Here is a 16,355-nt window from a genome sequence, read left to right on the forward strand (position 1 = left end):
CTCTTCCCCAGACCACTTGTCACCAATTTTCTAACCATGTTCTTTCCAAATCCCTGACCATCCAGTCAAACCATCCATCAATCACCATCCATCTATAGATCTATACTTCTGGCCATCTTTTCTTTCAGGCACAATATACAACCAGGTATGCTACTTGAGGTTCTGTCCCAGTAGGATTTCCCTTCCCCTCTGTACTGCAAGTGAAGCTGTAATGTATATGGAACTTCCTGTGAGTCCCACCTTTTACTTGACCCCCTTAGGCCTGTTAGGACTTGAGTTTGACCAATGGAATGCAAAATAAATGTTGCTGTGACTTCCAAGATAAGGCCTTAAAAAGCCTTGTAACTTCCACTTTCTGTCTTTGATACTTTTTTTTGTGTTTGTTTCGAGATGGAGTCTCGCTCTGTCACCCAGGCTGGAGTGCAGTGGTGCGATCTCTGCTCACTGCAAGCTCCGCCTCCTGGGTTCACGCCATTCTCCTGCCTCAGCCTCCCAAGTAGCTGGGACTACAGGCGCCTGCCACCAAGCCCGGCTAATTTTTTCTTTTCTTTTTTTTTTTTTTTGGATTTTTAACTAGAGACGGGGTTTCACCATGTTAGCGAGGATGGTCTCAATCTCCCGATCTCGTGATCTGCCTGCCTCAGCCTCCCAAAGTGCTGGGATTACAGGCGTGAGCCACCGCGCCCGGCCACATGGGGGTTTATTTCACAATTCCATATTCTGTTCCATTGACCTATATTTCTGTCTATATGCCAATACCACAATGTCATGATTACAGTAGCTTTATAAGTCTTGAAATCAAGTAGTATAGTTCTCCAATGTTGGGATTCGATCAGGCTGCTGGGAAAAATATTAGTTATGATGGCCACAAAACCTTTTTGGAAGGCCTGAGGGTTTTCACATGACCTCGGTAACAGACCGGGCCGAAGGCGGCCTGGTCCCATTAACTTTAGTTAAAAAGATTAAAGTAGTAAACAACGGGATGTGGCGAAGTTTTACCTAGTTAGCTTGTTTACTCATGCGGTCTTAAGACAAGCCTTTGATGTGTGCTTTTTACTCGGGAAGTCCACAATGTCAGTTAGCCTCTAATGGCGTTCACTCAAACTTTTGTTAACTAATCTTAATGAATAAATATGAGTCTCCCTAGCTGATTGGGGCCAGCTGCAGTGACAAGCCTCTCTTGGTGTGTAGGCGGTTGGACACTCAGCAGGACTGGCAAAACAGAATATCTGTGTGTCAGTGTGCGTTTTATTCATCTGTCGTTTGGGTCAGGGTCTGCGGGCAGACCCCCTGCAGCTAATGCCCTCTTGTGAGGAGCAATACCTCATTTCAAATTTGTTTTTTTCCCAAAATACTACGTATTTCCTTAGTAAGTGTTTCATCAACTTACATTTGCCTCATCCACTCTATTTTTCTAAGTTTTCTTTTCTTTTCCAAATCTTGCCTTCTCTTCAGTTTAGAGAAATGGAATTCACTTTCCTTTTTGTCTTCCACCACCATACCATCAGTAGATAGCCAAAACTATTGAGAAACAAAAATGAACATACAAAATGTTGAAATATCGATTGTGAGGTTATCTGGCAATAGACAAGAACTTCTATGTGTTCAGTAGGAATATGGCAAGATAGAAACAGAGGAGAGGATAGATACTTTCAAGGTATTTCTAATTAAGTGATGGGTGAGTAGTACACTCAGCCTTCAGAAGCACATGCTACAGATAGATCAACAAAGTACTAGTGTACTGAGGTGCTTAATAAGTGTTGAATGGATAAATAAACAGATATATTCTAAGAGTGTCTCATCTTCTCACATGAATAGACCTGACCTACTCTTAGTGCTGATGGCTTTTGATGACTCTAATCCTCAAGGAGTACAGCCACCCTTCAGGAATGCAGAAGTCCCTGTACCATGTCCTAAGACTTTGTGGTTTCCCCGTTATGACATTTTCTCCTAACTGGTTGTCTATTTTCCCCCTTCCAACTCATTCCCCCTGCTCTATCACACATACCCTAGATAATAAGGAAAGTTTGTTAATCCTTCCAAACACTATATATTTGCCCTTATTAAACCACTTAACATGTTTACCACACTGTACTGAAATATCCTGTTTACTTGACTGTCTCCCTAATTGAAAGGCAAACTACTTAAGTCTATCCCCTGCATCCAGAACAATGTCTGGTATATGGTTGATATGCAATAGTTTATTATTAAACAAATGAATGAATTCATACCTTGATCATTTTCACTTTTCATACTTGGTATATTCTTTTGTGTTTGTTTTTGTTGTTGTTGTTAGTTTGTTTTTTGAGACAGAGTCTCACTCTGTCGCCCAGGCTGAAGTGCAGTGGTGCCATCTCAGCTCAAAGTGCTGGGATTACAGGCATGAGCCACAGAGCCTGGTCATACTTAGTGTTAATATATTCAACATACCAAATTCTACAATCCGTATACTGGGTATATAATCTGCTGAGTACCAGAGAGTATCTAAAGATGGTCTAGATTCAAAGCTGATAATTAAAAGTAGAAATAAATGTAGTAAGAAAAAGATAAATTGCTGTGCCTTGAAGTATTATTAGCAACCCCTGAGTAGCTAACTTAAGCAAAATTTATCAATTAAATTACTAGGATTTATTATTTTAAAAAATAATTTTAAAATTAATTTTTGAAAAGACAAATGGGTTTCTAAATACGTAAGGTTAAAAATTAACATTTCTCTTTTCTTACTGTATCAGAAACTGGCCTCCAGCCATTGTTTTCTATACGATGATACCAGCCACTATGATCCTCTTCCTGAAGATGATCATTTTTATTATGAGATGTATGCTTTGCTGGAAGTTTTGCATAATTTCTAGGGCTGTTAGCACAGAGATCTTCAATAGGTCTGTGAGTAAAAATCTTATAGTATATATCAGGTGGAAATTTAACCTGTAGAAGGAAAAGTTCAAAGAGCCATTGTAATGTAACTACAAAAATGTTTTACATTTTGAAAAATTACATTGTTTCAATTTCATAAAAATGTGCTTTATAACTACTAAATAAGCATTCATCCATACTTACTCCACCTAATCTGAATCGCACATGAATGCCAGCAGCAGCATCTAGAAGCTCTGCCTATAAGAAAATATATTATTCTTATATATTATTCTTCAGGATTCTGTATGTATCAATTCACTATTTCTCACTCTATTATTTTAAATAATTGCTAAATATTGACTATTTAGGAAATCAGTCAGGTGAACCAACCTCAAATAATCAATTTTAAATTAGAAAAATTGTTAAAAAAATTTTTTTGAGATGGGATTTCACTCTGTTGCCCAGGCTGGAGTGCGGTGGCATGATCTCAGCTCACTGCAGCCTTAACCTCCTGGGCTCAAGCGATGCTCCCATCTCAGCCTCCCAGATAGCTGAGACTACAGGTGTGCACCACCATGCCTGGCTAATTTTGTATTTTTTTTTTTTTTTGTAGAGACAAGAGTCTTCCTATGTTGCCAAGCTGGTCTCGAATTCTTGGCCTCAAGTGATACTCCTGTCTTGGCCTCCCAAAGTGCTAAGATTACAGGCATGAGCCACTGTGCTCAGCCATTAAAAAAAATTTTTTTTTTGTAATTAGAAAATATTTTATGAGGCCGGGCATGGTGGCTCACGCCTGTAATCCCAGAACTTTGGGAGGCCGAGGTGGGTGGATAATGAGGTCAGGAGATCGAGACCACGGTGAAACCCCGTCTCTACTAAAAATACAAAAAATTAGCTAGGCATGGTGGCAGGCACCTGTAGTCTCAGCTACTCAGGAGGCTGAGGCAGGAGAATGGCACGAACCCAGGAGGCAGAGTTTGCAGTGAGCCAAGATCGCCCCACTGCACTCCAGCCTGGGCGACAGAGCAAGACTCTGTCTCAAAAAAAAAAAAAAAAAAAAAGAAAAGAAAAGAAAATATTTTATGAGCTAAGGACTTAATTTCTTTTTATTATTATTATTATTATTATTATTATTATTTTATTATTACACTTTAAGTTTTAGGGTACATGTGCACAATGTGCAGGTTAGTTACATAGGTATACATGTGCCATGCTGGTGCGCTGCACCCACTAAAAGGACTTAATTTCTTATGGACATCTATGGTAAATGAAAAAATGATACCAAACTGTTTCCTTTTTATGCAATATATAAACATAAAAGCCAAGTAATTTTTTAGTCATAAAACTTAACTTTTAAATAACTCCTCAAATATTACATATAAAATATTATCTTGCAGGTAAATTCAAAGAAAAAATTATGACTGATCAACCTAAATTCAACAGTAGATGACCTTTCCTAATTAGCTATTGTTAAATTTAAAAATCCATGTTTAAAATTCTGGGCCGGGCGTGGTGGCTCACACCTGTAATCCCAACACTTTGGGAAGCCGAGGAGGGTGGATTGTTTGAGGTCAGGAGTTCCAAAGCCAGCCTGGCCAACATGGTGAAACCCTGTCTCTACTAAAAATACAAAAATTAGCTGGGTGTGGTGTCGGATGCCTGTAATTCCAGCTACTCTGGAGGCTGAGGCAGGAGAATCGCTTGAACCAGGGAGGTGGAGGCTTCAGTGAGCAGAGATTGCACCACTGCACTCCAGCCTGGGCAACAGAGACTCTGTCTCAATAAATAAAATAAAATAAAATAAAATAAAATAAAATAAAATAAAATAAAATAAAATAAAATGATATAAGAATTGTATATAATAGGTTTTCTAGATTTTAGTTTGGTATGCAGCACCAAATGGAAAGTAGAGAAAAAAATTCTTGGTCCTTTATCGGAAGACAGTTCAATCTTGTCTCCTGATCATATTAGGTTAGATCAGAAAATAGATGTTATTCAACCTATAGAGTCTTAAAGACAACATTAATTTTGCAGAATAATCTTCTCTTGACTAAAACTTTTATGAATTCAAATATGAAGTGTGAGATCCTGTTATAAAACATATTTTCTATATTTGAGCCATAATAATATATACACATTTTTTTCACTAAGGTGGACAGATCTTAAGTGTACAGCTCCATGAATTTTTACATATGTATTGTACTCTCTTGTGCTTGGCTTATTTTGCTCAACATGAATCTGTGATAAATCTCTAAGATTCGTGTATGTAGTTGTAGATAGCAGCAGTTAGTTCTTTTTCACTGCTATCTAACATTCCATCATATAATAGAATATATGACAATTTATATTATTGTTGGACATTTGATATGTCTCTAGTTTTGGGTTAAAATGAATAAAACTACTCATTCTGTGAACATTCATTTTTATGTCTTCTGTGGGTTATAACAATCATTTCTCTTTGTTACATACCCAGGAATGAAATATGAGAGGTCATGAGGTATATATGGTATGTAAGTATACAGATGGCCCCGACTTAAAGTGGTTCAACTTACAATTTTGACTACAATGGTGTGAAAGTGATATGCATTCAGTAGAAATCATACTTCACATTTTGAATTTTGATCTTTTCCCAGGCTAGCAATATGTGGTATGATGCTCTTGTCGTGATGCTGGGCAGTGGCAGCAAGCCACAGCTTCCAGTCAGCCACATGATCATGAGGGTAAACAACTGATACTCTACAGCAGGGGTCCCCAACCCCCAGGCCATGGACTGGTACCAGTCCATGGCCTGTTAAGACTGGGCCACACAGCAGGAGGTGAGCGGCAGGAGCATTACTGCCTGAGCTCCCCATCCTGTCAGATCAGCAGCAACATTAGATTCTCATAGGTGCACAAACCCTCTTGTGAACTGCACACGCACAGGATCTAGGTTGCATACGCCTTATGAGAATCTAATGCCTTGATGATCTGCGGTGGAACAGTTTCATCCCAAAACCATCCTCCACATCCCAAGTCTGTGGTAAAATTATCTTCCACTAAACCGGTCCCTGGCACCAAAAAGTTAGGACTGCTGCTCTACAGTATAGACTAAGTTAAATTGGTAAGTTATGTTTGGCAGGTTAGGTATATTAAGTGCAGTTTTTGCTTATGATATTTTCACCTTACAATGAGTTTATCTTAACATAACCCTGCCATAAGCCAAGGAGCATCTGTAATTTGCTGTACTAGTGACTACCAAAGAGTTTTCCAAATTTTTGTAACAATCCCCCCACCAGCAATATATGAGTTCTGGTTGCTCCGTCTCTTTATCAACATTTGGTACTGTCAATCCTTCTAATTTTAGCCATTCTGGTGGGGTTATAATGGTAGCTCATTGTAGTTTTTAATTGTATTTTCTTATGACTAACCATGCTGAGCACCTTGCATATGCTTATTGGCCATATGGATCTATCAGTCATGCTAGTAGTTTATCAATTTTATTAACATATTCAATGAACCAACTGGCTTTTATTTGCATAGTGGCACCATCATGGTTCAATGCAGCCTCAACCTCCCTGACTCAACTGATCCTTCTACCTAACCATTCCAAGTAGCTGGGACTAAAGGCACGCACCATCGTGACAGGCTAATTTTTTTAATTTTTTGTAGGTAAGGGATTTCTCCATGTTGCCCAGGCTGGTCTCAAACTCCTGGGCTCAAGTGATCTGTGCACCTTGGCTTCCCAAACTGCTGGGATTACAGATGCGAACCACCCTGCCAGCCACTTCTACTTTCTATTCATTGATTTCTGATTTTATCTTCACTATTTCCTTCCTTTTACTTTTTTTTTTTTTTTGAGACAGAGTCTTGCTCTGTCGCTCAGTCTGGGGTGCAGTGGCCTGATCTTGGCTCACTGAAACCTCTGCCTCCTGAGTTCAAGTGATTCTCCTGCCTCAGCCTCCTGAGTAGGTGGGATTACAGGCACACGCAACCACGACTGGCTAATTTTTTCATATTTTTAGTAGAGACGGGGTTTCACCATGTTGGTCAGACTGGTCTCGAACTCCTGACCTCATGATCCCCCTGCCTTGGCCTCCCAAACTGCTGGTATTACAGGCATGAGCCACCATGCCCGGCCCCCTTCCTTTTACTTTCTTTGGTATTAATTTGGTTATCTTTTTCTAGCTTGAAGTGTAAACTTTGTAAATTGATTTTTAATTTTTCTTCTTTTCTAATATTTGCATTTAGAGGTATAAATTTCTGTCTGAGCTCTACTTTAGATACATTCCACATGTTTTGATGTCACATTTTCATTATGACTTAGTATAAAATATATTCTAATTTTCTCTTTTAATCCATAGATTATTTAATTTCATGTGCTTAATTTGCAAAAATTTGGTGGTTTTCTACTTCTGTATTCTCATTAATTTTTAGTTTAATTCCACTGGGACTAGAAAACATTCTCTGTGATTTCAAAACTTGGAAATTTGTTGAGACTTTCATTAAATCCAAGCATGTGATCTATTACGGGAAACATTTTCTGTGCACTTAAAAATAACATTACTTTTGCAAAACTGTAGACATTTTGCAGTGTTGCAAAAGTAGTGACAGCGTTCTCTCTATATATCAATTAGGTAAAGAATTTAAAATCTACAATATCTGTACTAAATTTTTTTGTGTGCTTGTTTCTATCAGTTACCAAGAGAGTTGTGTTAAAATCTTCGACTATGCTTGATGATTACTATATTTCTTCTGGTAATTATGTAAGTTTTTGTCTTATAAGTACAGAATTTTTATATTTTTCTATTGAACTGACTCTATCATTATGAAACTGCTCTCTTTATATCTCACAAAACTTTATCCCTTAAAGCTTAATTTGTCCAATACTAACATAATGACACTGATTTTCTTTTTCTTTTTTCTTTTTTTTTTTTTGAGATGGAGTCTCGCTCTGTCATCCAGGCTGGAGTGCAGTGGTGTGATCTCAGCTCACGCAACCTCCACCTTCCAGGTTCAAGTGGTTCTCCTGCCTCAGCTTCCCAAGTAACTGGGATTTACTTTTGCCTGACTAAATTTTGTATTTTTAGTAGAGACGGGGTTTCACCACGTTGGCCAAGCTGGTCTCGAATGCCTGACCTCAAGTTATCCACCCACCTCGGCCTCCCAAAGTGTTGGGATTACAGGTGTGAGCACCATGCCTGGTCTGACTTTCTTTTAATTAAAGTTTGCATGATGTATATTTTTCCATTGTCTTATTGTTTTATATTCTTATTGTTTAAAGTATGCCTCAAAAATAATAAACAGATGGGGTTTTTGTCAGTCTGACAACCTTTGCTTTCATTTGGGTTCTTTAGTCTATTTACATGTAAAACATACACATGAAATCGTATAAAATGCTCAATTAAAACCAGAGAAGGCAGTAAAGTGAAGGAATACAGAGAAAAAAAAAACAATGGCAACAAACAGGAAACAATTACAAATACAATAAATATCGATTGAACTATATCAATAACTTTAAATGTCAATGATCTACATATACCAATTACAAAGGGCAGATCAGAGACTGTCAGAGCGGATAAAAAATCAAGACCCAACTATATGTTATCCACAAGCAACCCACTTTAAATATAAAGACACAGATTAATAACAAAGAAAAGAACAAAGACGAACCTGGGCAATATAGTTAGACTCTGACTCCACGCAAAAAATTTTAAAATTAGCTGGGTGTGGTGGCATGCACCAGTAGTCCCAGCTACTTCAGAGGCTGGGGCGGGAGGATCACTTGAGCCTGGCAGGTCAAGGGCGGCAGTGACCCATTATGACACCACTGCACTCCAATCTGGACAACAGAGTGAGGCTTTATCGAAGAGGAAGAAAGAAGAAAGAAGAAGAAGAAAGATATATGATACTAACACTAATAGAACGAAAGCTGAGCTGCTATATTAATTTCAGACAAGGCCAAATTAAGATCAAGGAAAACTGTCAGGACTAAATGGAGCATTACATGATGATAATGTATGTACTTAACAACAAAGCAGCAAAATATGTGAAGCAAAAACTGATAAAACTGCAAGAAAAAATATAGTAATTTACTAACATAATTGGAGATTTCAATACCCCTCTATCAGTAATTGACAGATTCAGCAAGTCAGAAAACCAGTAAGGCCATAATTGAACTGAACAGCAGCATAAATTAACTGGATCCAATTGACATTTATAAAACACTTCTTCGAACAACAGAATATATATTCTTCTCCAGCACAGACAAAATATTTGGCAAGACAGACCACGTTCTGGGCCATAAAACACACCTTAATACACTTTTTTATTTGTACAAATTTGTGCAGTATATGTGCAATTTTGTTACATGCATAGAATGCAGAGTGGTCAAGTCAGGGCTTTTAGAGTATCCATCACCCAATTAATGTACATTGTATCCATTAACTAATTTCCCATCGTCCACTTCCCTCCAACCAGCTCATCCTTCCAACTCTCCACTGTCTATCACTCCACTCTCTACGTTCATGTGTATACATTTTTAGCATCCACTTCTATGTGAGAACATTTGATATATATATATAAGATCATGTCACCAGTAGAAAAAAGATAATCTGACTTCTTATTTTCCCATTTGAATGCCTTTTATTTCTTTCTCTTGCCTGATTGTGCTGGCTAGGACTTCAGTACTGTCCTGAACTTGAGTGGTAATAATAAGCATCCTTGTCTTTTTCCAATTCTTAGAGGAAGCGCTTTCAACTTTTCCCCATTCCATACAATATTAGCTGTGGATTTGTCATATATGGGCCTATCTTAACAAATTTAAAAGGAATAGAAATCATACAAAGTATACTCTCACACCTCAATAGTATTAAACTAGAAATCAGTAACAGAGAGATAACTGGAAAACCCCAAAACTTGAAAATTAAATAACACACTTCTAAATAACAAGTAGGTCAAATAAAGAGTCTCAAGAGAAGTTAAAAATACTTTGAAATAAATGAAAACGAAAATACAACTTACTAAAATTTGAGGGATTCAGCAAAAACAGAGCTTACAGGAAAATTTATAGTACTGAATGTGTGTATTAGAAAACAAAAAATATCTGAAAGAAATAATCTAATGTTCTGCCTTGAGGGACTAGAAAAGCAAAGCAAATTAAATTCAAAGCAAGCAGACGAAAATAAATAATAAAGATTAGAGCAGAAATCAATGAAATTGATAACAAGAAATCTATAAAGAAAATAAAAGAAACAAAAAGCTGGTTTGAAAAGATCAATAAAATTGATAAGCTTCTGGCTAGGGTAACTAAGAAAAAAAGACAGATATTACACATTACTAATATCAGAAATGGTCCTTGTCATTTCTGTCTAATTGAATACTTTATTGTCATGATGATGGTTACTCTTCATGGACATCTTAATCTTCCACACACATCCCCTTTTTTTGGAATAAAATTTGTAAAGAATGAAAATGGTGAAGGAAAAAAAAAGAAACAAAATAGAGGTCATCATTACTGATTGCATGGACACTAAAAAGGATAATAAACAAATTTTATGAGCACAAATAACTCTATGCCCTCAAATTTTATAACCTAGATGAAAGAGACCAATTCCCTAAAGACATAATCTACCAAAAATCACAGAAGTAGTAGATAATTTTAATAGGCCTATCTCTATTAAAGAAATAGAATCAATAATTAAAACTTTTCAAAACAGAAAAAAAGCACAAGGCCCAGATGGATTCACTGGTAAATTCTACCAGACATTTAAAAAAGAAATTTATTTTACTATTTACAGTCTCTTCCAGAAAATAAAATCAAAGGGAATACTTCCTAACACATTTGATGAGGCCAGCATAACCCTAATACAAAAACCACACAGAGACATTACATGAAAGGAAAATTATAGACCAATATCTCTCATGAGCATAGACTTAAAAATCCTCAAAAATTTAGTAAGTCAAATCCAACAATGTATAAAAATAATTATACACCATGATCAAGTGGGATTTATTTTGCAAGGCCACTATTATATTGTATCAACAGGCTAAAGAAGAAAAGTCATATGATCATATTAGCAGATGTAGAAAAAGCATTTGACAAAATCCAACACCCATTCATGATAACAACTTTGGCAAACTAGGACTAGAGGGGAACTTCCTCTAATTAATAATATCTACAAGAAACATACACCTAATATCATACTTAATGGTGAGAAACTAAATGTTTTCCTACAAAGATGTCCCCTCACCTTTTCTATTCAACATCACACTGGAAGTCCTAGCTAATGCAATAAGACAAGAAAAGGAAATGAAAAGTATACAGATTGAGAAGGGAGAAAAAGAACTGTCTTTGTTCTCAGATGACATGATTGTCTATGTTAAAAAATCCCAATGAATCACAAGGTTAATATACTAATCAACTGCTTTATTATATACCAGCAATAAGCAACCAGAATTTGAAATTTTAAAACACATTGTCATTTATATCAGCACGCAAAAAAGTAAAATACTTAGGTATAAATCTAACAAAATATATAAAAATCGATATGAGGGAAACTACAAGACCGTGATGAAGGAAATCAAAGAAGATTTAAATGAATGGAGAGATATTCCATACACCCGAATAGGAAGACTCAATATTGTCAAGATGTCTGTTCTTCCCATCTTTCTGGATCTATAGATTCAATGCAATCTCAATCAAAATCCCAGGAACTTATTTTGTGTATAAGGACAAACTGATTATAAATTTTAAGTGGAAAGGCAAAAGACCCAGAATAGCCACTATAATATTTCAGGTGAACAACAAAGTTGGAGAATTGACACCACCCAACTTCAAGACTTACCACGAAACTACAATAATCAAGACACTGTGGTACTGGTGAAAGAATACACAAATAAATCAATGCAACAGAAGACAGAGCCCAGAAATAGACCCACACAAACAGTTAACTATTCTCTGACAAAGGGGCAAAGGCAATTTAGTGACAAAAGAATAGTCTTCAACAAATGGTGCTGGAACACCATTTGGACATTGCGGGAATCCACGTTCAAGAAAAAAAAAATCTAGACAAAGATCTTACACCTTTCACAAAACAGTAACTAAAACTGGATCATAACTTAAATGTAAAATGCAAAACTATATAACTCTTAGAAGATAACATAGGAGGAAATCTAGGTGAGCTTGGGTTTGGTGATGACTTTTTAGATATAACACCAAAAGCATAATAGATATGACGGACTTCATTAAAAAGTTGTACTCAATGAAAGACATTAAGATAATGAAAAGACAGGTCATAAACTGGGAAGAAAATACTTGCAAAACACATATCTGATAAAGGGCTGGTATTTAAAATATACAAAGAACTCTTTAACCTTCACTATAAGAAAACAAACAACCTGAATTAAAAATGGGCAAAGGACCTGTAAAGCTATCTTCACTAAAGAAGATATACAGACGATACATAAGCATATGAAAAGATGGTCAACGTTGTATGTCATTAAGGAATTACAAATTAAAACAACAATGAGGGCCCGGGCATGGTGGCTCAAGCCTGCAATCACAACACTTTGGGAGGCTGAGGCAGGTGGATCACTTGAGGTCAGGAGTTTGAGACCAGCCATGGCTAACATGGTGAAACCCCGTCTCTACTAAAAATACAAAAATTAGACGGGCGTGATGGGGTGTGAATTCCAGCTACTCGGGACACTGAGGCAGGAGAATCACTTGAACCTGGGAGGCAGAGGTTGCAATGAGCTGAGATTGTGACACTGCACTCCAGCCTGGGCGACAGAAACTCCGTGTCAAAACAACAACAACAACAAAACAAAAACAATGAGATACCTCTATACACCTTTTAGAATGACCAAATTCAAATACTGACAACACTAGATGCTAGCAAGGATGTGGAGTGGTAATTCTTTGCTGGTCGGAATGCAAAATGGCACAGCCACTTTGGAAAAAGTTTGGCAGTTTCTTATTGAACTAAATGTACTCTTACCATAAGATCCATCAATAGAGAATTTAAAAGAACAACAGCAAGAATATAAGTCAAAGGGGATAATGAGAAATAAGTGCATTGTCTGGGAGAAGATAAAAATGCAAATCTATATATGATTTCATAAGTCAAATATGCATGTTGCAATCTCTTGAATAAGTTTAAAAGAATGATAATATATAGAGAAAAATATAAAAAACTCATTCCCATAGAAGGCCATAACATGTTGAAAAAGAACGTAGAACGTCTGAGACATACAGAGAGTAAATAGTAACAGGGTAGATTTAAATCCCCAAACATCAGTAATTACATTACATGTGAATGAAGTAAATGTTCTGACAAAAGACAAAGAGTATCCTACTGGATAAAAAATGTTAGCTAACAACCTGCTGCCAGGTCAGGTGCGGCGGCTCACACCTGTAATCCCAGCACTTTGGGAGGCCGAGGCAGGAGGATTGCCTGAGTTCAGGAGTTTGAAACCAGCCTGGGCAACATGGCAAAATACCATCTCTACTAAAAATACAAAAAATTAGCCGGGCGTGGTGGCACATGCCTGTAATTCCAACTACTGGGGAGGCTGGAGCACAAGAATGCTTGAACCCGGGAGGTGGAGGTTGCAGTGAGCTGAGATAGATAGTGCCACTTCACTCTAGCCTGGGCAACAGAACGAGACTCTGTCTCAAAAAAACAAAAACAAACAAACAAAAAAAAACCTGCTGCCTATAAAAAGACACAGCAAAAATGTAAAGATTCAGAATGTTGGAAGTAAAATGACAGGAAAGATGTACCATGCAAATAAGAGACAGTTGGTGTGCGCATGTTCTCACTCATAATGGGAGTTGAACAATGAGAATGAACACATGGACACAGGGAGGGGAACATCACACTCTGGGGCCTGTCAGCAGGTGGCGGGCTAGGGGAGGGACAGCATTAGGAGAAATACCTAATGTAGATGATGGGTTGATGAGTGCAGCAAACCACCATGGCAAGTGTATACCTATGTAACAAACCTGCACATTCTGCACAAGTATCTCAAAACTTAAAGTATGATAATAAAAAAAGGAAACACAATATTACTGACAGTAAAACTTTCTGATTTGTTAAAAAAAAAAAAAGAGACAGTTGGTGTGGTTGTATTAATACCAGAAATTTGAGACCTTAAGGGACACACTTTATAATGATAAAAGGTTCAATTCAAGAAAGATACAATAATCTGAAGTATTCACTTAATAACATGGTCTCAAATATATACAAACCACCAGAAAAATAGACAAATCTTCAGTCATAGTGGAAGCTTTTAATACATATCTCTCAGTAACTGATAGTATAACTAGACAAAAATATTCAGTAAGGCTATAGAAGATTTGATCAACATAACTGAAAAATTTGACCTAATTGACATCTATGCAATACTATGCTCAATAACTAAAAAATATATATTCTTTTCAAGTACAGATAAAAATTTATAAAAAATAGACAACAGAGGATTGAAAGTACAGCACAATCAAGATAAGGGCTGACAACAAAAAGATAACTGGCTAATTTCCAAATTAAATAACTGAAATAAAGTAGAAATTTTAAAATATTTTGAACTGAATTTGATATGAAAATATGACATATCAAAACTTGTAAGCTGCAGCTAAGACCATTCTTAGATAAAAATTTATGTCCTTAAATACATATACCAGAAAAGGCTACAAGTCAATAAATTCAGCATCCATTTCAAAAAGTTAGAAAAATAACAGCAAACAGAATTCAAAGAAAATATAAAGAAGGAAATAATAAACAGCAGAAAATGATGAGGTAGGACACAAATGAACAACACAAAGAAACAACAAAGCTAAAAATTGTTTTTGGAAAAGACCAATAAAAGTAATAAACTCCAAAGAGACTGCTCAAGAAAAAAAAGAGGAGATGCAAATAACCAATACCAGGAATAAAATAAAGATAACTATTACAGATTCTAAGGCATTAGAAAGATCATAAAAAGTATTATGAATAATTTTAAGCTAATAAATTTGAAAATTTAGATGAAAACTTCCTAGAAAAATACAACTTATCAGAGCTAGCACAAGAAGAAATACAAAATAGAAATAGAACTATAATTCTAAATTGAATGTAATTTAAAATCTTTTCATGGAAAAAACTTCTGGCACAGATGGTTTCATTAGTAAATCCTTACAAAGTACATTTAAGGATGAAAATAACACTCAATGTGAAAAAGAAATTCAGAAAATAAACAGAGTAGAAACATTTCCCAATTTGTTTTAGGAGGCCAGCTAAATGTGATACCAAAATCTGACAGAGACAGTAAATTAGACGTTCTGCAGGAACACAGGTGCAAATATTTATACCAAATATTAGCAAACTAAATTCAGTGATATTTTAAAGGGATAAGATAATCATAACCAAAATGTACCTATTCTAGGAACGCTAAGACGATTTAACATTCAAACAAAAAATAAGAACAAAAGAAAAATTGTATCTCAATTAAAGCAAAAAAGGTCTCATAAAATTTAGCATCTGTTCTTGGATTTCTAAAAAACTCTTGTCTGGGCACAGTGGCTCATGTCTGTAATCCTGGCACTTTCAAAGGCCAAGGCAGGAGGATTGCTTGAGGACAAGAGTTTGAGACCAGTCTGGGCAACATAGGAAGACTCTGTCTCTACAAAAAAAGTTTTAAAAAATTAGCTGGGCATGGTGGCCCACACCTGTGGTCCCAGCTACTTGGGAGGCTGAGGTGGAAGGATCACTTGAGCCCAGGAGGTTGAGGCTGCAGTGAGCTATGATGGCACCAATGCACTCCAGCCTGGGTAACAGAGTGAGACCTGGCCTCTAAAAATAAAATCAAAAAACTCTTTTAGTTCAACAGGAATAGAAGGAAACTTCCTTAATCAGATAAAAGGATTCTATAACAAACAAACAAACAAAAATAGCATACCTCATACTTAATGATGAAATATTGATCCTTTCCCTCTGAAATCCAGAATAAGACAGTGGTTATCACTTCTATTCACCATTACTGAAGGCTCTAGCCAGTGTATAATGGCAAGAAAAAGAAATAAAATGTATCATGTTTGAAAAGGCAAAAACAAAACTCATTGAGGATGACATGATTGTTTATATTGAAAATCCAAAATAATCAATGTACACATTATTAGAATTAATAAATGAGGATTGCAAAGTTGTTGGGAACAAAGCTAATGTGCAAAAATTGATTGTCTTTCTACATAATAGCATCAAAAATAAGAAAATAAAAATTTTGTAATTAACCATTTATAGGAGCATTAAAAAGCAAGTTATAAATCTAGCAAAAGATATGTAAGACCTCTCTATAGAAAACTATAAAGCATTTGTTCAGAGAAAATTTAGAAGAACTAAATAACATTTCAAATTAGGTTTTCCAAAAGAAGATGCTTATATGAAGTTTGAGTGCCACAGGTTTATTAGGGCTCAATACCTATGGAAGAAAGGGGAGGGAAGAAGAACTGGGCAGAAGAAGAGTTGGAACTGCAATGTAAGCCACAC

At 36.2% G+C, this 16,355-nt stretch overlaps 1 protein-coding gene across 28 annotated transcripts in view; it reads right to left on the bottom strand.

The window, feature by feature from the left end:
• C11orf65 (chromosome 11 open reading frame 65) overlaps positions 1–16,355 on the bottom strand; it is a 161,363-nt gene that overhangs the window by 95,520 nt on the left and 49,488 nt on the right. For 19 of the 28 annotated variants that reach the window (NR_147053.3, XM_047426461.1, XM_047426463.1 and 16 more), the window contains 3 exons: positions 3,058–3,111; positions 2,725–2,925; positions 1,391–1,521 (listed from right to left, as the gene is read on the bottom strand). Coding sequence is in view for 27 of the 28 variants with exons in the window: in XM_047426461.1 (XP_047282417.1) it covers positions 1,391–1,521; positions 2,725–2,925; positions 3,058–3,111 (386 nt within the window). In the remaining variant the exon portion in view is untranslated. The remainder of the gene's footprint in view (positions 1–1,390; positions 1,522–2,724; positions 2,926–3,057; positions 3,112–16,355) is intronic. The other 9 variants (XM_047426467.1, NM_001330368.2, XM_047426462.1 and 6 more) reach the window with 1 other exon arrangement.

The sequence above is a fragment of the Homo sapiens genome, chromosome 11 (genome assembly GCF_000001405.40).
Source record: "Homo sapiens chromosome 11, GRCh38.p14 Primary Assembly".
NCBI lineage: Eukaryota > Metazoa > Chordata > Mammalia > Primates > Hominidae > Homo > Homo sapiens.